At 44.8% G+C, this 21,655-nt stretch overlaps 1 protein-coding gene across 2 annotated transcripts; it reads left to right on the forward strand.

Annotated features, from left to right (window-relative positions):
* The first annotated feature begins 48 nt into the window (after positions 1–48).
* On the forward strand, positions 49–21,448 carry IFI27L1 (interferon alpha inducible protein 27 like 1). Of its 2 annotated transcripts, none has more exons than NM_145249.3 (5): positions 49–188; positions 15,580–15,704; positions 19,478–19,510; positions 20,553–20,714; positions 21,216–21,448. In NM_145249.3, the coding sequence occupies exons 2-5, from the start codon at positions 15,677–15,679 to the stop codon at positions 21,305–21,307; spliced, it is 315 nt and encodes a 104-aa protein (NP_660292.1). In that variant the 5' UTR covers positions 49–188; positions 15,580–15,676; the 3' UTR covers positions 21,308–21,448. The 2 variants fall into 2 exon arrangements, with proteins under 2 accessions (NP_660292.1, NP_996832.1); NM_206949.3 differs by having other exon boundaries at positions 15,626–15,704.
* The last annotated feature ends 207 nt before the right edge of the window (positions 21,449–21,655 follow it).

The following is a 21,655-nucleotide window of genomic DNA, read 5'->3' on the forward strand; positions in this document are numbered from 1 at the left end:
CCCTATGGCAAACTCAGCTACCTGATTGGCTGCCTCGCGGACCGCAGCAGTGCCGGCGGGAGAGCTGGCTTGGGGCGCTGGCACCTCCTCTTACAGCTTTACTCCTGCCAGCTTGGGAAAAGGCCGGAGAAGGTGAAATTCTGTGTGCTCCCTCCGGCGAGAGACTTTGTCAGCTCCCGCACAGTAACGTAAGTTTTCTTGTATTCTTAGTGTAGTTTCGTTACCGGAAAGGGGTCTCGATCCAGACCCCAAGAGAGGGTTCTTGGATCTTGCACAGGAAAGAATTCAGGGTGAGTCCGCATAGCAAAGCAAAAGCAAGTTTATTAAGTACTTTACTCCGTAGACAGAGTAGGGCGTTCCCGAAGGTAAGAGGACGAACGCGTCCATCCTAGGTACAATGCTCGTACCTAGATCATAGGGAGATGTGCTCTGCTACAAGGGTGACGTGTGATGAGTGTTCCTTGTATTGTAATTGTTTTGGGGCGCCATGAGCTGTGCCCATATAAGATACAAACGTAATTGATAAATGTTGTGTGTGTTCAGACTAATCCACTGACAGGCCGTTCTTCCTTCTCTCTCCCTTTCCTTGGGTCTCTATTCCCTGAGACACAACAGTGTTGAAATTAGGTCAATTAATAACCCTACAATGGGCCTCTAAGTGTTCAAGTGAAAGAAAGAGTCGCACATCTCTCACTTTAACTCAAAAGCTAGAAATGGTTAAGCTTAGTGAGGAAGGGATGTCAAAAGGCAAGATAGGCTGAAAGCTAGGCTGAAAGTTTGCACCAAAAAGTTAGCCAGTTTGTGAATGCAAAGGAAAAGTTACTGAAGGAAATTAAACATTTTACTCTAATGAACACATGAATGATATGAAAGCGAAACAGTTTATTGCTGATTTGGAGAAAATTTTAGTGGTTTGGATAGAAAATAAAACCGGCTACAGCATCCCCTAAACCCAAAACCGAATCCAAAGCAAGGCCCTGATTCTCTTCTATTCTATGATGACTGAGAGAGGTGAGGAAGCTATAGAAGTTTGAAGCTAGAAGAGATTATTTCATGAGGTTTAAGGAAAGAAGCCGTCTCCAGAACATGAAAGTGTAAGATGAGGCAGCAAATGCTGATGGAGAAGCTGCAGCAAGTTATCCCCAAGATCTAGGTAAGATCGTTGATGAAGGTGGCCACTGAACAGCAAGTAGTCAATGTAGACAAAACAGCCTTCTATTGGAAGAAGACGCCATCAAGGACTTTCATAGCTAGAGAGGTCAATGTCTGGCCTCAAAGGCCAAGCTCACTCTTTTGTTAGAGGCTAATGCAGCTAGTGACTTTGGATTGAAGCCAGTGCTTGTTTACCATTCTATTATAAAAATCTTAGGTCTCTTAAGAATTACGCTAAATATAATCTGCCTGTGCTCTGTAAGTAGAACAACAAAGCCTGGATGACAGCACAACTGTTCATAGCATGGTTTACTGAATATTTTAAGCCCACTGTTGAGGCCTACTGCTCAGAAAAAAGGATTTCTCTCAAAGTATTATTGCTCATTGAAAATGTGCATAGTCACACGAGAGCTCTAATGGAGATGTATAAGGAGATGAATGTTGTTTTCATGTCTGTGAACACAAGATCCATTCTTCAGCCCATGGATCAAGAAGTAATTTTGCATTTCAAGTTTTATTACTTAAGATACATTTCGTAAGGCTATGGCTGCCATAGAGAGTTATTCCTCTGATGGATCTGGGCAAAGTATATTGAAAACCTTCTGGAAAGGGTTCACTATTTTAGATATCATTAAGAACATTTGTGATTCATGGGAAGATGTCAAAATATCAAAATTAACAAGAGTTCGGAAGAAGTTGACTCCAGTTCTCATTGATGACTTTGAGAGGTTCAAGACTTCAGTGAAGGAGGTAACTGCAGATGTGGTTGGAAATAGCAAGAAAACTAAAATTACAAGCGGAGCCTGAAGATATGACTGAATTGTGGCAATCTCGTGAGAAACTTGAATGGATGAACAGTTCCTTCTAATGTATGACCAAAGAAAGTGGTTTCTTGAGATACAATCTACTCCTGGTGAAGATGCTGGGAACACTGTTGAAATGACAATGAAGGATTTAGAATATTTCGTAAACTTAGTTGATAAAGCAGTGGCAGGGTTTGAGAGGATTGACTACAATTTTGAACATTCTACTGTGGATAAAATGCTACCAATTAGCATCACATGCTACTGAGAAATCTTTCATGAAAGGAAGAGTCAATCCATGCAGCAAACTTCATTGTTGTGTTATTTTAAGAAATTGCCACAGCACCTCACCTTTCAGCAACCACCACCCTAATCAATCAGCTGGTTTCAGAAAAAAAGAAAAGTATATTATGGCAGAGGGGGACACAGTCAAAATGTTAATAATTGGTGAATTATTGGTGCTAGAGTAAGGGTACGTGAGTGTTCATTGTACTATTCTTTCAACTTTTTTGAGGTTTAAAACTTTTCAAAATAAAGAGTTGAGTAAATTGTTTTGATTTAAAAATTATGAATTAAAAAGAAATTGGTTTAAGCCAGGTGTGGTGGCACATCCCTGTAGTCCCAGCTATCCAGGAGGCTGAAGAGGGAGGATCGCTTGGGCTCTGGAGTGTGAGTCCAGCATGGACAACATAGCAAGACATCATCTTTAAAAAAAGAAAAAGAAAGAAGGAAAGAAAGAGAGTCAATTTTAATTTTTAAAAATGGGGGAGGGGGAGATGTCAACCAAAAGCAAAATGATGGCAAAGTTTCCATTATAGTAGTGGAAACATAGGTATTTTTTTTCCTTCTTCTCAATATTCTAATTTTAAAAAATAGTAAGAATAAACTATTTTAATGTTATTCTTATTTCAAAGATGAAAAAACAGATGCAGGAAGATTAATTTGCCAGAGTCATACAGCTAATGTTACAGAGCTCAGACCTGACTTGGAGATCTGTGACTTTAACTGGGTGCAGTGGCTCACACCTGTAATTCCAGCACTTTGGGAGGCCCAGGCGGGTGGATCGCTTGAGCTCAGGAGTTCAAGATCAGCCCAGGCGACATGGTGAAACCCCGTCTCTACAAAAAATGCAAAAATTAACCAGGCTTGGTGGCATGCGCCCTTAGTCCCAGCTACTTAGGGGGCTGAAGTGGGAGGATTGCTTGAGCCCAAGAGGTCAAGGCTGCAGTGAGCCATGTTCATGCTGCTGCGGGATAATTAAGAAACCAAAGGGACCGAGGGGTTGAGGAGGAATTATTTAATTATTTAGGTGCACAAACCCAGTCAGATTAACATCCAAAGGACTGAGCCCTGAACAAAGAGTCAAGCTACCTTTTAAACATTTCGTGGGGCAGGGGGAGATTTGTGCAGTGGGAAGCATATTACAGAAGCGAGAAACAAAGACAGTTATTCAATTGAGACATGGCATTACATTATATCTTACTTTTCAAGGAACAACACGTTTTACGACTTGAGAGTATCTGTCTAGTGACCTTGCAGCTGCACAGCTAGAGAAACAGAGTCTTCACAATGCCTGGGAAAGGGAGAGATAAGGCTCACTAGCCTCAGAAAGAAAAACAGGCAGTTAATTTTAAAGGACTCCAGCCCTTTCTCTTCCTCAAGGGAAATTGGGTTTTTTTACATACAACCGAGTTTTTGCTTACACAGTTTTTAATTTCTTTTAATTCCTGTTCCAATGCCAGTATACTCAGCCTGAGTGACAAAGCAAGACCCTGTGTGGGGGAAAAAAAAAAGTAATCAAGATCAAGAAACCCTATAAGGAATGTGTCCCAGTTTCCAAGGGACCCATGCAGAAGCCTCCATTGCCAGTGGCTGAAGTGGGAGTACTTATGAATGTGTTGATTGACTTTCCAAAAAGACTGAAGGGTAGATGTGGGCTGAGGGGAACCAAGAATGCATATGGAGAAGTTGGAACAGTTGAGCTCATATATTTCCCAGCAAGAAAATGGCTCATCTAGCCAGGTAGGGCATCTAGAAGGGTGGGGGAATCAGATTGCCTGGAGTCAGGTCTGAGCTCTGTAACATTAGCTGTGTGACTCTGGCAGATTACTTACTCTTCCTGCATGTTTCCTCATCTGTAAAATGAGAATAATATGGTTGAGAAGACTAAACGTAAATGCATGTAAACTTCTTGCTGCAGTGCCTGGCACATGGTGAGCTCAATTGACCTTAGCAATTCCTTTTGTCATCACACATTTCTTTATAAGCATACACATACCTTTCATATAGTATAAATATGAAAAGGTGATAAGTTGGGGGAAAACACATTTCGGCGAAACATCCCACAGTGTTAAGTAGTTGTTTTAAGGTGATGGAACTGAGTGTAATTTTTTCTTTTCAATATTTCAATTTTAATGTGATTATTTTAATTATATATATTATATGGAGGTATAATTAGTGTACAATAAAATGCAGAGTGCAGCTTTTCAGTTCAATGAATTGTAACATTTCCATATCATCATATAAGTATTGCACAAAACAACATAAAGAACATTTCCACCACCCCAGAAAATTCATTCATCCCCATTTCCAGTTAGTTTTTATCCCTACCCAGAACACAAATATATTTTAATTTAAAAATTAATTGGCAACTATTTCTTAAATGGGAGCCATTTTGGTATTTTCATTTATTGTAAAAGTGACTTATGCCTGAGGCATTGTAATTCATCTAGCACCAAAAAACATACGTATGTATAAGCATTCTACATGGGTGATATAGTTTGGATATTTGTCCCCACCCAAATCTCATAGTTGAATTGTAATCCCCAATGCTGGAGTTGGGGTCTGGTGGGAGGTGTTTGGATCATGGGGGCAGATGCCTCATGAATGGCTTGGGCCATCTGCTTCATAATAAGTGAGCTCTCACTCTGAGTTCATGTGAGATCTGGTGGTTTAAAAGTGTGTGGCGCCTCCCCTCAATTCTCTCTGACTCTTGTTTTCACCATCTCATGTGCCTGCCCCCCTTCCACCTTCTGCCATGATCGTAAGCTTCCTGAGGCCTACCTAGAAGCTGAGCAGATGTCAGCAGCATGCTTCTTGTAAAGCCTGTGGAACTGTGTGCCAGTTAAACCTCTTTTTTAGATAAATTACCCAGTCTCAGATATTTCTTTATAGCAATACAAGAATTGCCTAATATAATGAGGTCTTCCTTTACCAGTGTTTTGTAAGTTGCCTCTTTCACTCAACAATATCTAATGAACCATTCCCCATTGCCAATAAATATTAATCTATAACCAGGGACGGATCCATTCTATTTAGGACCTGAAGCTTACATAATTGGTGGGGCAGAGAGCTTAAAAAAAGAGAGTTATAATACAAAATACCAGTAACACTATAATGTCACCCCAAACCAGGGGAAGTATGGCAGAGGGAAGCCAGATTGGAAAGCAATTACAAGACAACAGCCCTAATCAATTACTCTTAGAAGAACTTTTGCAAATAATAATAATAACAACAAAGTGAGCAATGGCTAGAGCTGCTCTTAGGGTCTTGGAAGGAGCCAGTGCAAGTGAGGGTCCCTGAACTCAGGCTTCTTTTGCTTCGAGGTAAACCCATTTCTGCTTCTATCATCAGTAGCTACATATAATTATTTATATAGGAGTATAAAATTTTATTTATTCAATTTTTGTTACTTCCCACTTTTGCTGTGTCAACCTAAATAACAAACAGAGAGAAGCCCTCTAAAAGAAAATGACATTTGAGAATACGGCATTGCAGTGGGAAAATTCATGCCATAGTAAACTATGTACATATTCAAGGATGTAAAGGAAGACAAAGGTTTTTAAAGGAAAAATGAAGACAATTATGTAATTGTTTTGAAGCCAGATTAGAAAGCAATTAAAAGACAACAGCCTTAATCAATTACTCTTAGAATAACTTACTTTTACAAATAATAATAATAACAACATGTTTGGCTATAAGGATTAACAGCAAGGGTGACACCAGTCTGAGGTTGGGCAGGTAGTTTCTGGGCAGATGTGCTCACGGAAGTATTTTTTGTGTAAGGTTGTGATGGCCTTTGTGCAAGATTGCAATTTTTGCAGATGATAGTTTTGTTCTCAGGCATACAAAAGCGTGAAAACCCTCTCTTCATGGATTTTCCCTAGCTCTATTTGTCAGAGTTTGGGTGTGTTTTTTGTTATTTTTATTTTTATTTTTGTTTTGTTTTGAGACGGAGTCTCACTCTGTCACGCAGGCTGGAGTGCAGTGGCGCATCTCGGCTCACTGCGAGCTCCGCCTCCCAGGCTTCACGCCATTCTCCTGCCTCAGCCTCCCGAGTAGCTGGGATTACAGGCACTCGCCACCACACCCAGCTAATTTTTTCTATTTTTAGTAGAGATGGTGTTTCACCGTGTTAGCCAGGATGGTCTCGATCTCCTGACCTCGTGATCTGCCCGCCTCGGCCTCCCAAAGTGCTGGGATTACAGGCATGAGCCACCGTGCCCAGCCGATTGTCGTTTTTTTTTTTAACACAAGCAACTCCATTTTGACTCTGACTGCTTTTATAGTTGTCATCAAAAACACGGTGATCATCATTCATGTGCAGATATTTGTGCACATCTCTGATTCTTTTCTTGTGATGAATTCCAAGAAGTAAAATTTCTAAACCAAATAAGCTTTCACTACATGCTGTCAAATAAAGTATGGGTTAGAACACGCCATACCCAGCAGTGAATGAGGATCACTACTCCTTTCCTCATGCAAACACTGCATGTTCCAGTTATTTGCTTCCTGAGGCAGATTATAAGGATGTAGTCACTCAGCTCTGTTTCACGCTCTGCTGTGAACCCTCAAGGATGGAAAGTTAATGACTCTATTCCCCTGGCTTCCCCATATGCCAGTTCTGCAAATGACCTGAATTGTGCCAAGCTGACTCCCCTGTGCAAGGATGTGAAGGTGGAAGGGACACAGGGGCTGTGCTTCGGCTTCTTCTACTGCCAAGCATTGTAGTAGGGACTTGTTTTTTTGCAGTAGCAGAAGCAGAGTCCCAGGATCCATTTCTTACGTTACTATGCGAGATGCAGAAGGTAAGTTTTCATTTTACTGGCATAGATGCCCCAGAGCCAACAGGTGTGGCAGTGGCTTCCCGATATCCCAGTTTCGTGATCATGGCACTGGCTGAAGCATTCTTGGTGGCCCACTTTTAGGGTGGAGCCACATTCTGGGGTTGGGGCATTCCTGGAACATCAGCTTAGACCCTCCTCCTCCAATCCTGGAACAATCTTTTTTTTTTTTTTTTTGGAGACAGAGTCTTGCTCTGTCGCCCAGGTTGGAGTGCAGTGACACGATCTCAGCTCACTGCAAGCTCCACCCCCTGGAACAATCTTATAGTCACCTAATTCCCTGTGTCAAAACCCACTCTGCTTAAGTTGGCTGGAGTGACTTCTGTTATCTGCAGCTGAACTCTGACTAATAGATGCATGTGACACACATACAAAATGTTACCTCCTTTAAATCTTTTACTATTAGTAAGATTGACCATCTTTTTAAGTGTCTATTAGTCATGCGTAATTCTGTCTTGGGGAGCTGTCTCCTAGTCTTCGGAGTTCCTTGTTAAAGGCAGTTCCTTTTAAAAATTGATTCATAAGGAAAACTCTCTTTGAGTTGGGGATACTAATCGTGCAAAAGTATTATTTTGTTTGGTTTGTTTTCCCCTCAGTATGTCACTTGTCTCTTAACCTTCATGATAAATCCATTTTTCACCACGAGGGACTTTGTTCATGGTGTTTTTTTGTTTGTTTTGTTATTTTGTTATTTTTATTTTTAGAGAGAGTGTTTTGCTCTGTTGGCTAGGCTGGAGTGCAGTGGTTGGGTCATGGCTCACTGCAGCTGTTACTGGATAGAGGTCCCGATGCATATCCTAAGAGAAGGTTCTTGGATATCATGCAAGAAAGAATTTCAGGTGAATCCATAAAGCAAGAGCAAGTTTATTAACAAAGTAAGGGAATAAAAGAATGGCCATTCCATAGTCAGAATAGCAGCTTGAGCTGCTTGAATGATAATACTTATAGTTATTTCTTGATTATATGCTAAACAAGTGGTGGATTATTAATGAGTTTTTGAGGTGGGCAATTCCTGGAACTGAGGGTTCCTCCCCCTTTCAGACCATATAGGGTAACTTCTTGATGTTGCCATGGCGTTTATAAATGGTCATGGTGCTGCTGGGAGTGTCTTGTAGCATGCTAATGCATTATAATTAGTATATAATGAGCAATGAGGATGACCAGAGGTCACTCTCATCACCGTCTTGGTTTTGGTGGGTTTGGGCTGTCTTCTTTACTGCATGCTATTTTATCAGCATGGTCTTTGTGAACTGTATCGTGTGCCTATCTCCTGTCTCATCCTGTGACTAAGAATGCGTAACCTCCTGGGAATGCAGCCTAGTAGGTCTCAGCCTTATTTTACCCAGCTCTTATTCAAGATGGAGTCACTCTGGTTCAAATGCTTCTGACATATTTACCCCCTCCCTTTTACAAGGAAACCCTTAAGCCTAAGGGTTGTAGAAGTATGTAGATCCATCTTCTGTAATTTCTTCAGACTGAATAGGGGCGATGATATTCCTGCCTAACTATTAGGGTCTCTTGTATTCAGGGTAGAGTGGAGCTCAGTCAGAAAGTGTCGGTATGGCAAGGACCATTCATAACTCTTGAGTTCCGACAAAAGGTGATATCTGGAAGATTAGTAAGTGTTCAATTTAAGAAAACATTGAGTAAGCTCATCCTACATTTCTATACAAAGAGTACAACAGCAACATATTCCACAACAGTAAAGTAAAATAAGCAAAATTATCCCAAGTAAACTGAATAAGAAGGCTTTCCAGGAACTGGGCAATTGTTGGAACCAAGCTGATATGGGGGTCTCTAGCTGATTCCAATATGTGCCCAAATTAGAATATTGATCCAGATTTTTACATTACCCATCCCTCTTGTTTCTTCTGAGCTGCAGCCAGAGATCACCGATTGGTTCACAGGAATAAGCAGGGTCAGTCTAAATTGCAGAAAAAAACTCAAAAACAACTGATGAGACTAGAATTTAATAACTGGTGTACCACAGTTTTTGAAACCTAATTTTTCTCTCTCCAGTCCTCATTTTAGTATAAAACAAATCATAATTTGACAGATTTGGTTTATTATACCTGGCCTGATTATTTGTATAAAGTGCAGCAAGAATGATTATTTTTCACATAGGCTTTTTAAATTGACTTTGGTGGAACTTTGTTCCATGAAAGGAATCTCAGATAAGACATTTTTAAAGCTGAGGCCAGCCATGGGTTGGTAGCAGATACCTACGAGTTTGGGTAAATTCCTCTCCTTAAGAGGTTTCAAGATAACTTGGGGCTCTTGGGCCTGTCAGAAAGTGACATTCTTTGGTCAGGAACCCTGTACAGTGACTGTGTAGGCAAGATACGAGGCTAGTTTTCCCAAGGGGCTTTTATTGGCTCTATAAGTCAAGTTTGATTCCTTAAGGGAAAGCACATCATTACAGTCAAAGCCTTGGTAAAATAACCGATGTCTCCAATTGCATCCAATTGCAAAATGAAATGGATTCTTATTGTACTTATGCAGATAACTATATTGCCATAAATTAAGAATATGCAGTTTCCAAATTCTGGAGAAATCAGGTAGAGAGAAGCAAATATACTCCAAATTTTGTTCACAGTAGTATACTTTACTCAATTATCAAAAGTTGTAAATAGCTCAAAATAAAAATTTTTTTGGCTCTGTAAAAGATCAGGAAAAAGTCAGAAAGATTGGTTCAGACTTCTGTTAGTTTAGTTCATGCGCTTAATTCCTGTTCTGTCTGATGCTCATGAACATTTCAGCTCTCCATGAAAGTCCTGAAAGATTTTTTCTAACATCACAATGTCCAAAGTTATCAGAAACCTGCATCCAAGAGCATCTGTCAAAGTCCTATAGCTGATTAAGGGTCACCTTTTAAAGAGGATCAAAACAAGGTAACAGTTGCCTGTGGATGACAAAAAGTTTTAGGACAGCCGCTATTATAGCCACAATTGGCTAGAAATTGTGGTTACTTCTATGGCATACAACAATTTTACATAACAATTATAACTATTAGTAGCATACACTAAGTCATATCATGATTATAGGAGTTTCCCATAATTTTAGAACACATACCAATAACTTAGTTATACAAATACAGCCAAGAAAGCCAAACACCCAACCATTTCATATTTAACCATGCTTCCTATATGATTTTTATACCAAATAAGGCAAATATGTCATTTTTGGACTTGAGGAGACCTAGTATCTAAAAGATTAATTAGGAGGTCAGAAGAAGACATAATTTATAATTTGATTTTGGAAATTTTGCCAAATATCAGAGGTTTAAAACACTTGATATTATAAAATCAAATCCCAGGTCACCATAAGTCATTTACTTAGCTGAAACAATAACTCAGAATTTTTTAAAAGGCAAAAAACCTTTACTCATTAATAGAGGGAAGATTTAGCTTTCCAAACAATCTCTTTCCTTTCCCTTCTTTTGTCTATAGCTTATTCAAAAGGCAAACAAAAATCTTTTTTTTTTTAATATAACATGAAAATCAGCTGGGTGTGGTGGCTCACACCTGTAATCCCAGCACTTTGGGAGGCCAAGGCAGGTGGATCACCTGAGGTTAGGAGTTTGAGACCAGCCTGAGCAACATGGTGAAACCCTGTCTCTACTAAAAATACAAAAAAATTAGCCACGCATGGTGGCGGGTGCCTGTAATCCCAGCTACTTGGGAGGCTGAGTCAGGAGAATCGCTTGAACCTGGGCAGTGGAGGTTGCAGTGAGCCGAGATTGCACCACTGCACTCTAGCCTGGGTGACAGAGTGAGACTGTGTCTCAAAAAAATAAAAAAAAAAAAAGAAAGAAAATCTTAAGAGAGAAAGCCAGATTTCACCCTTTGCGTTAGTGTACTATTGATATCAAATTCAATCCTTAATAAAACCTGGCCGTGCGCTCTGGCTCACGTCTGTAATCCCAGCACTTTGGGAGGCTGAGGTGGGCGGATCACGAGGTCAGGAGTTTGAGACCAGCCAGATCAACATGGTGCAACCCCGTCTCTACTAAAAATACAAAAATTAGCCAGCTGGGTGGTGCGCTTTTGTAATCCCAGCTACTCAGGAGGCTGAGGCAGGAGAATTGCTTGAACCCGGGAGGTGGAGGATGCAGTGAGCCAAGATTGCACCACTGCACTCCAGTCTGGGCAACAGAGCGAGACTCCATCTCAAAAACAAAACAAAACAAAACAAAAAAAACTTTACAGACAAATCAATCTTAATCAGTTTGTCTATGAGGCAAGATTCTCATAAACCTTTTATAACCCTTTACAAATTCTTGTTAAAGAGAAGATCAGTGCTCTAAGAAAAACTCTGTTGTGCTTTTATTCCAATGTTCAATTTACAGAAAAACTGAAGAATACCTGATATGGTTTAGCTGTGTCCCCACCCAAATCTCTTCTTGAATTGTAGCTCCCATAATTCTGATGTGTTGTGGGAGGGACCCAGTGGGAGATAATTGAATCACCGGGATGATTTCCCCCATGCTGTTCTCGTGGTAGTAAGTCTCATGAGATCTGATGATTTTATAAGGGGTTTCCCTTTATGCTTCGCTTTTCATTTGCTCTTTGCCAGCCACCCTCCTGGGTTCAAGCGATTCTCCTGCCCCTGCCTCCCAAGTAGCTGGGACTACAGGCGCACACCACCATGCCCAGCTAACTTTTGTATTTTTAGTAGAGATGGGGTTTCACCATGTTGGCCAGGAAAATCTAATTCCAACACATCCCAATACCAGGAGCATTACTTTTCCCCTCAAAATGCCCTTCTTGGAGATGTGAGGAATTCAAAATCCTCCTTTTCATCAAAATTTTTGACTGCATTTCTTTTCTTTTTTTTTTTTTTTTTGAGATGGAGTCTTGCTCTGTCACCCAGGCTGGAGTGCAGTGGCATCATCTCAGCTCATTGCAAGCTCTGCCTCCTGGGTTCACGCCATTCTCCTGCCTCAGCCTCCCGAGTAGCTGGGACTACAGACACCCGCCACCATGCCCGGCTAATTTTTTTTTTTGTATTTTTAGTAGAGACGGGGTTTCACTGTGTTAGCCAGGATGGTCTCGATCTCCTGACCTCGTGATCCGCCCGCCTCAGCCTTCCAAATTGTTGGGATTACAGGCTTGAGCCACAACGCCCGGCCCTGACTGCATTTCTTATGAACTTCATTTTGTATGGAGAACATCCCTCCATCCCACATAGAAGATTTATAGTATGAAACATTCTACACTAGCTGACAAATGGCATGGAGCCCTACTCCCATATTTGTGATAAGCAGGAAGTCAGCATGGATTGGTGGCTAACAGCATGATCTCTGACCAGGGGCCCTGGTTGAAATCCTTAGAGCTGTGGCCTTGAGGCAAGTTAATGAACCTTGATGTGCCTTAGTTTGGTGACAAATAGGGAGTTAGTAGATATGTACTATTGTTTTTTGCATTTGCTTGTTTCTGTCCTTTTCCCCTACTGGAACAAATTTCATGAAATAAGGATGTGTCTATCTTTTTCTCTTGAGTCAGTGCTCAGGAGCTTGGTAAATATGTTTTGAATGAAAGAATGAGTGAAGAGAAAAAAAAGGAAAGTGAGAGTCTCAGTGTGAAGTCTGCGGAGAGAGGAATACAGAAAATTAAAGAAGTGACAGAATCGGGGTGGGAAAGGCCCTCTGCTTGGGATATCCTCTAATGTCCTGGAAATGAGGCTGTGTCCCTTTTGCAAGACAAGGAAAGGAGGGAAAATGAGCCCTGCACCCCAACCCCAGTCCTGCAACGATGCTTGACCAAACTTGGGTTTGAGGCCCAATTTAGGAATGTTAGAGTCCTTCCAAAGATTCAGGGGGTTAGAGGTCCCTCTCAGTAAAGTCTCTCTTGGTTAAAAATGGATTTGGCACTACGAGGTATTAACTGCTACTCTCTTTGGGTTAATCTGCCTCGCACTCTTTGCTGATGGCTGTGGGTGGCAGGATTGAGCATGTACAGGATCATGGGACATTGGGAGCTTTTTTCTCTCTAAAGGCGGAAACTTGAGAGCTGATCCCTTCAGGATGACAAGTGGCCGCCTGAATTTTTGAGTCAGTGTTGCTGCAACGGGTGGGTCTTTCTCTGGCCTCCCTGAGCTCTTCACCTTCTCCACCCTGCCGTTTCCTTGCACAGTCCTGTTTAGTTTTGGAACAACACTCCCAAATAATTCAGCAAAAGACTTTGCTGATAAAGCAGCATGATGTAAAGAAGTCAGCCCAAATCCACCAAAACCTAGATGGTGACGGAAGTGACCTCCATCACTCTAGGAATTGTCCACCCCTTTCCCAGAAAACTCGTGAATGAGCCATCCCTTGTTTAGCATATAATCAATATAATACTGTAAGTATTATCAGTCGAGCGGCCCAAGCTGCTGCTTTGCTCTCACTTCACTCTGGATTTGGCTTGAAGTCTTCCTGTGTGAGGTCCAAGCACCCTCTCTTGGAGTCTGGATTGGGACCCCTTTCCAGTAATATACTCCTGGTGAACCATGAAAGGACGATATTGAGGAGACCCCTGAACTAAAGGAAATAGACCGCAACACCAATTGGCTGACTTTGGGTAAGTGGTGGGGTACATTTTACCTGGGTAAAGGATGAGAATGGGTTAGAAGTCCAACTTAGGGGAATTAGAGTCTCTCCTAAGATAGAGCGAGTTAAAGGCCCCTCTTAATAAAAGGCAAGGATGCACAAAGGCACACTTAAAAAAAATTTAGAGACAGGATCTCACTGTGTTGCCCGGGCTGGAGTGCAGTGGCATGATCACAGCTCACTGCAGCCTCGACTTCCTAGGTACAAGCAATTCTCCAGTTTCAGCCTCACAAGTAGCTGGGACTGCAGGTATACATGACAGCACTTGGCTAATTTTTAGAGACTTTTTTAGAGATGAGGGTCTTGGTATATTGCCCAGGCTGGTCTGGAACTCCTGGCCTCAAGTGATCGTCTTGTCTTAGCCTCCCAAGTAACTGGGATTATAGGTGCCAGCCACCGTTCCAAGCCTTAGGCACACTCTTTATCCATATTTCTTTTTATGAAATACTCAATGTCTACTTGATCTCCGGTCTGGGCCTAGCATTAAGGGAGGCAGCAATGAATGACTCCTGACTCGTGTTAGTCAGTTTTACATTTCTATCAAGGAATACCTGAAGCTGGGTAATTTATAAAGAAAAGAGGTTTATTTGGCATGGTTCTGTAGGTTATACAAGCATGGCACCAACGTCTGCTCAGCTTCTGGTGAGGCCTCAGGAAGCTTTTACTAATGCAGAAGTTGAAGGGGGAGCAGGTGTGTCATATGGCAAGAGAGGGAGCAGGAGTGAGAGGAGGAGGTACCAGCCTCCTTTAAACAACCAGCTCTTGCATGAACAAACAGAGTGCGAATTTGTTCATTACCATGGGGAGGGCACCAAGCCACCATGAGGGATTTTCCCCCATGACCTGAGCACCTCCCACCAAGCTCCACCACCAACATTGAAGATCACATTTCAATATGAGATTTGGAGGGGACAAACATCCAAACCATAGCAGTCCTTGATTTTAAAGAGCTCTGAATCCAGCAGAGGAGATAGAGAACAATGTTGCATTGTGGGAAATTCTGTGGCAGAAAGAATATAGTGGACTCACATTTGAGAGCATAAGTGGGGGTATAGTTGCTCAAGCGAGATTGGGAATGTGTGGCCAGGGAAGTCTTCCTGGAGAATATGTAAGATGATGAGGTCCTGAAAATTTTCCTGAATCTAGCATGCAAAGGATCAGAGGCCTAAAAGAGCAGGGAATGACTTCTATTTGTCCCCCAGGACAGAAACGTAGCTGGATATTGGCAACAATAAGTTTAGGGCGAGGCAGAAGCCAGTTCATGGAGGACTTGCTTATCCCATGGGCCATACAAGGCTGTTGAGGGGTTTTAGGCAGATGGATGGGTAAACACCATGACTTTTCCCTGTACCACAGCAGCCAGTAGATACGTCTCCATTCAGTGTTTTATATCCCTGATGCTTGGGTTGCTTCCATCTCTTAGCTATTGTGAATAATGCTGCTACGAACATGGGTGTATAAATATCTATTCAAGACTATGCTTTCAGCCGGGTGCAGTGGCTCACACCTGTAATCCCAGCACTTTGGGAGGCCAGGGTGGGCGGATCACGAGGTCAGGGATTCGAGACCAGCCTGACCAACATGGTGAAACCCTGTCTCTACTAAAAATACAAAAATTAGCCAGGTGTGGTCGCACGCACCTGTAATCCCAGCTACTCAGGAGGCTGAGGGAGGAGAATCGCTTGAACCTGGGAGGCAGAGGTTGCAGTGAACAGAGATTGTGCCACTGCACTCCAGCCTGGGTGACAGAGCGAGACTCTGTCTCAGAAAAAAAAAAAAAAAAAGGCTATGCTTTAAATACTTAGGGTAGTTACTCAAAAGTGGGTTTACGGGATTATATGTTTTATATGATAATTCTATTTTTAATGTTTTTATAGTCCCAGGAGGGATGCAGAGTTCTTTATTAATGCAGCTTTATTCAAACCAGATCCTGAATAAAGTCAAAACTCAACCAACAGGTGGAAGTCCAAGAATCCGAGTGGAGGCTCACCGAGGCGAAGGGGCCAACCATGGGAAAGGAGAGTGGATGGGACTCAGGTGGGTACTGCACATGATTCTGGGGGCTGCTGGTCCTTCCGAGGTGAATGCACTTTGTGTCCCACTCTTCTGACACCAGATTATGTCAACCCCAAATAACAGAGAGGGAGGCTATCCATGGAAAAGAATTATTCAGGAATGAATGACGGGATTTTTAAATCCCAGAATACACATGCCACAGTGGACCATGGCGGGGCCACAGATGTACCCAGGAAGGCAAAGGAAGACAAAGGTTTTTAAAAGCAAAACAAGGAAAGTTACTAAGTGGTTTTGAAACAATGATCCTTGGCTACAAGTGTGGCATCAGCCCAAGATTGAACGGGCAGTTGCTGGGCAGTCATCCATTCAGAAGTATTCTTTATGGAAGGCTGCAGTGGCCTTTCTGCAAGGTTGTGGTTTTCAGAGCATCTTTGTAATAGCTCTTTTCATAGGCATGTGTGCCTGAGAGCCCCTCCTTGGTGGCCTGCCTCCATTTTGTTAGGATTTGGCATAAGCGACTCCATTTTAATTCTGACAACTTTCATAGCAGGAAGGCTTTTGGCCTGAGCTGCTGAGAGGATGGATTCCGGGTTCAGCAGTGACTTGGGCCAGAGCAGAGGCAGAGAGACAAGTTAGGAAGCTCCTCCAGTCATCCCACTGAGAGACGCGGGTGGCTTGGTCCGGGACTGGAGCTGCAGAAGTATGAGGGATGGTCAGACTGGATATTTCTGAAGGTGAATAAGCATTCACGGATAGATTGCTGTGAAGGAGAGAAACCATGTGGAGTCAAGGAGGACTCCAGGCCACTTACCCTGAGCTACTGAGAGAACGGGGCTGCCCTTTACAGAGGCTGGGCAGCTGTTGGAGGGACAGCTTCCAGAGGGGAAATGGGAGTGCACTTGGGTCACTTCATGTTTGAGGTGCTTCTCAGATACCCAAGGGACATGTTAAGTAGGTCTAGGCTGAGCACATCAATCTGCAAGTCACCAGAGTACTTAACACAGTGGGACTGGGTGAAGTGCCCCCAGGTGTGGGGCTAAAGCAGGGGAGTCTGAGGACGGACCCTGGACACACCCACACTGCACTGAGTTCAGGGAGAGGGGCTGAATGAGACTGAGAAGGAGAGGCTAGTATGGCAGGGGGAAATGTGGAGGATGAGGCCAGGTGAGGAAGATGTGTCGGCTTCTAGGGCTGCTGTCACAAAGGTCCATGGATTGAATGGCTTAAAACAACAGAAATTTACTTTCTCACCGTTCTGGAGGCTAGAAGTCTGAAATCAGAGTGTCCCAGGGCCATGCTGTCTCTGAAGGCCCTTCAGGAGAATGTTCCATGCCACTCCCTAGTTTCTGGTGGCTGCTGTCAGTCTTCGACGTCCTTGCCTTGTGGCTGCATCACTCCCATCTCCATCTCTGTCTTCACGTGGGCTTCTCCCTGTGTGACTCCAAGTATCTGTGTCTCTTCTTTTTCCCTTACAAGGACCTCAGTCATATTGGATTAAGGGCCCACCCTACTCCAGTATGACCACATCTTCATTACATTTGCAAAAACCCTGTTTCCAATTAAGGTCACATTCACAAGTACCAGATGTTAGGACTCGAACATATCTTTTCGGGTGATGCAATTCAACCCGCAACAAAGACGTTTTGAGGAAGAGAGAGTAATCACCCCTGTCAAGACACTGCTGAGAGCTGGGAACGTTGAGGCCCGAGAGGGAGGGCTCTGGATGGGCACCAAGGAGGTCAGTGGGGACGTTGTAAGTCCAGTTTCTTGGGGACTGGGTTGGGGAGAAGGCTTATGGGTATGGGTTTGAGAGTGCATGAGAGGAGTGGTGGTGTGTCGTGCCTATACACACATCTTGATGATTCACTCATGTTCTCATGCTTTGCATTAGACCCTCCCACTAACCCTGTGAGGTGGCTGCTCTCATTATCTTACACATTTTATAGAGGGGACAAGAAAGCTAGGTAACTGCTCAAGGTCATGCAGCTCTGAGTCTGGGTGCCTAACCACGGTGCCATTCTGCCTTTCCCTGAATGGACAGAACTACCACAAGGAGCTTTGCTCTAAGGAGCAAAGCAAAGTGAGGTGGCAGCTGGAGGAAGATGTGGTGTGAAGGGAGGGGCTGTCCTTGTTTTACTGGTATTGGGAACAATCCCAGAGAGAGGGAGACTTTGATGATGCAGAAGCGAGGGAGGCACTGCTGGAGCATGACTTGGAGTAGGAATAGCAGGTGGGCCCAGCGCACAGGGCGGCAGGCGCACAAGTGGGGAGGCACACAGGTGGCAGGTGCAGGCACTGCTCATCACAGAAGTGGGAGGGCAAGGGAATGTGGGGGCAGGGGTGGTGAGTGGCAGGGGTAGACTTGCTGGTGAGAGCAGGGGGACGCTGTCTTCTGGTTGCCTTCATTTTCTTGGTGAATTAGGACCCCGACAGAGGCAAGAGAGGAGGTGGTGCAGGTTTGAAGATCCAGGGAGAAGTTGTGAAATTTGCATAATCTCAGAGAGCGGGGAGTGAAAGGAACAGAAAGACACAGAGATTGGAGTGATGCAGCCACAGGCCCGGAGCACCAAGGATTGTTGGCAGCCACCAGAAGCTAGAAGGAGGCACAGGAGGACCCTCCCTGAGAGGCTTCAGAGAGAGCGTGGCCTTGCTGACTCCTGGATTGTGGACTTCCAGCCTCCAGAACTGAGAGAATTGATTTCTGTTGTTTGAAGCCACCCAGGTTGGGGTCCTTGGTTACAGCAGCCTAGGAAACTAAGACAGAGCTCAGAAATCCCAGGGTGACTGAAGAACTCCCAAAGCTTGTGTTAGAGTCAGAAAACTGGAAAGGGAGGAGTTAGGGGCCTCTAGGGGGCTGCTCGCTGTAGGGAGGGTACCATTTTGTTATTAACAAGGTCTAGGACAGAATGCTAATAGAACTAATAGAACCTTCTGTTCTCTGAGCTGTCCATTGTGACAGTCACAGGCTACACGTGGCTCTTGAGCTCTTGAGATGTGACTAGTGCAACTGAGGCACTGAGTTCTAAGTTTTATTTCATTTTTAATTCACTAAACTTTAAATAGCCACACATAGCTAGTGGTTACAAGTGGGCAGCACAGGCCTAGGGTTTGACTGAGGGAATATGGGGCATAGAGTCCAAGATCTTTGGAAGCAAGGAAATAAGAACTGAAAGACACGTTTTTGGGAAATGTCATCTGAGTAGGGATTGATATCATCAAGACAGGTCAGGAGTCGTGACAGAGAGAAAGGGAGGTCCTGAGCCATGAGCTAAAAGCTTCAAGAAATGGCAGGGAGTGATGGGAGGATTGAGGCTGATTTTTGCACCTTCTGTTACTTGGCTGAGACCAAGGCGCCTCTTCCTGGGGAGGTGGCTGAGCTCTTTCTAGCAGGCCCTGAAATCTCCAGAACTTTGGTCCCAGCTGCCTAAGCACCCCAGTCCCTGCCCCCGTGGCAGCCATTGTCAGATGTTCCTGCCAGCCCTGAGAGCTCAACACAACTCAGGAGGCCCAGGCATGCTCTGCCCAGTGCTGCAGGGGGCCCAGCCACAAGGCTGGGCAGAGGAGACAGGTGACTTCTGATGCGGGGACCTGGGGAGGCTTCCTGCAGAAGGTGCCACGTGCAGAGCCCTGAGGATGGGGCCTTCACCTCTGACCTATGGCCTAGGATGAGTAGGGGGCTTCAGAAGAGGGAAAGAATAGCAAAGTTGAATTTGAGATGGGGGTATCAGAGAGTACCCACTCCCATAGGTTTGTGTTTGTTTGTTTGTTGTTGTTGTTGTTGTTTTTGTCTCCAGGCAGGGCTGCTGTAGCAGCTGTGGTCGGAGGAGGTGAGTCTCTATGGGAAGGAACTCAAGCCCCCATCCCCCGCCTCCCCCCAGCCCTGAGCCTCTGGGAGAAACTGGCTTTGACCAAACCCAGGATTCTCCAAGACATAGCTGGGTAGCGGTGGAGTGGGCAGAGTGATGGGGACCTTAGAGCAGCAGGAAGCAAAGCAAAGCCATTAAAGGCACAGGGCTTTGGAGGCAGCCAGAGCTGGGGCTACTCTCAGCTTCCACCAAGTACAAACCATGCAACCCCGGATGAGTCATTGGAGCAGTCACAGCCCGGGATTCCTCCCCGTCTAAAGCAGGGCCCATGGTATCCTTGGGGACTTTTGAAGGGAGTATGTCAGCTGAGCTGTGTCTCATTCCTCAAAAGTATTTGACAAATGCTGGTAGCCCATCCACTGAGTCAGAAGCTTTTGACCTGCTATAAAGCAGTGTCCTCCAATGCAATGGCCAAAACTAAAGAAAATCATAATGTTTCTCTGTCACCTGCACCACATTTCAAGTGCTAAACGTGGCTACCCTAGTAGACAGTACAGAAAACAAATGTGGCTGTGATTGCAGATGGCTCTCTGACTGCACTGCTCTGGAGATTTTGGGGAGCCCTAGAGGACCCCCGCGTGCTGCTGCAGGGCCTTCAGGGCCTCCATCCCCTCACCTCTCCAGAAAAGCAGCTCTGATATTGTCTTCTGTCAACCTTTTGCATGGAGAGATCATGTTTTCCTTGCCAAAAGGGAAAGTTTGAAGACTGCTGTTTGCTTCAATGTATTTATTTTACATTAGGGGAACAGAGGCCCAGGGAGGGCCAGTGAGCCCTCAATGGTGTCTGTGAAACAGGCGTAAACAAGCCTGGGATTCAGATTATCCTGGGAGCCGGTCCACTGGCTGCTTTACACGTTGACTGCCCTTGTTTTGGGATCCCATCCCTGCTCAGTCTTTCCTGAGAGCACAGCAGACCCCTCCTCCTCATCGCCCCAGGAGGATGTCAGGGAAGTCTGGGGGACTCCGTCCCATGGGGCCAACCCCAAATCTCCACTTCCCGCAGTTGTGGCTGTGGGGACTGTGCTCGTGGCGCTCAGTGCCATGGGCTTCACCTCAGTAGGAATCGCCGCATCCTCCATAGCAGCCAAGATGATGTCTACAGCAGCCATTGCCAACGGGGGCGGAGTTGCTGCTGGCAGTCTGGTGGCTATTCTGCAGTCAGTGGGTGAGTGTTCTGGACAGGATGACCAGAGCCAGGAGATGATCCAGCCCCGAGGCTGAACCAGGGAGGCCTCTCCTCTCCCTGCAGGTCCGTGATCCTCTGCCTCTTGGGCCCTTTGTCTTTCTGTCACTGTCCCCTCTTCTGGTTGGAGGTGGGACCAGGGGTGCAGCCTAAGAGATCTGCATTCCTGGTGAACCCTACAAAACCCAGGCAGGTCTCCTCCCCTCTCTGGGCCTTTGGAAGATAAGGAACCTGCCATTTCTCAGAGGGTCTGCCCTGTTGCTGGGATTCCTCACCAGAGTTCTTGCCTCCTCTTCGGGCAGTGGCCTGCAGCAGCCCCTCCCAGAGCAGAAATCCTAGGGTTTTAGGAAGCAGAGGTGGGGAACAGGGTTGGACTGCCTGGGCCTCAGGTCTCTGGAGGGACCAGGGTCTCTGGCCTTCAACCCCCTGTTAGGAGCTGCTACCCCTCCCTGTGCCCTGTGCTCACCCTCTCTTCTCCCCCAGGGGCAGCTGGACTCTCTGTGACATCTAAAGTTATCGGGGGCTTTGCTGGGACAGCTCTTGGGGCCTGGCTGGGTTCACCCCCTTCCAGCTGAACACCACACTGAGGCAGGGAGTTGGCTCTCTTGGTGGAGATGACTTTCCTGGGCCTCTGGATGACAATCTTCCAAAGGACAAGTCTCCTACTCCCAAAACTATTTAAGGAAGCATGAAAAATAAAGATGCTGGTTATCTTCTCCTAGTGTCGGTTCTCTGTTCTTGTGGTCAGGATAGGGTACAGCGCTGCTGCAGGACTGCTGGACAGGGAGGGACTCAAGAGGAAGCAGCATGGGATGTCTGTGACCGGAGCCAGGTCTGGCCCCAGGCTTTCCACTCATTCTGTGGTCCTGAGCAGGTCATGTCTGCCCTTTGAGCCTCAGTTTGCTGCACTTCAGATGGGAGAG

Source organism: Homo sapiens, chromosome 14 (genome assembly GCF_000001405.40).
Source record: "Homo sapiens chromosome 14, GRCh38.p14 Primary Assembly".
NCBI classification, from domain to species: Eukaryota; Metazoa; Chordata; class Mammalia; order Primates; family Hominidae; genus Homo; species Homo sapiens.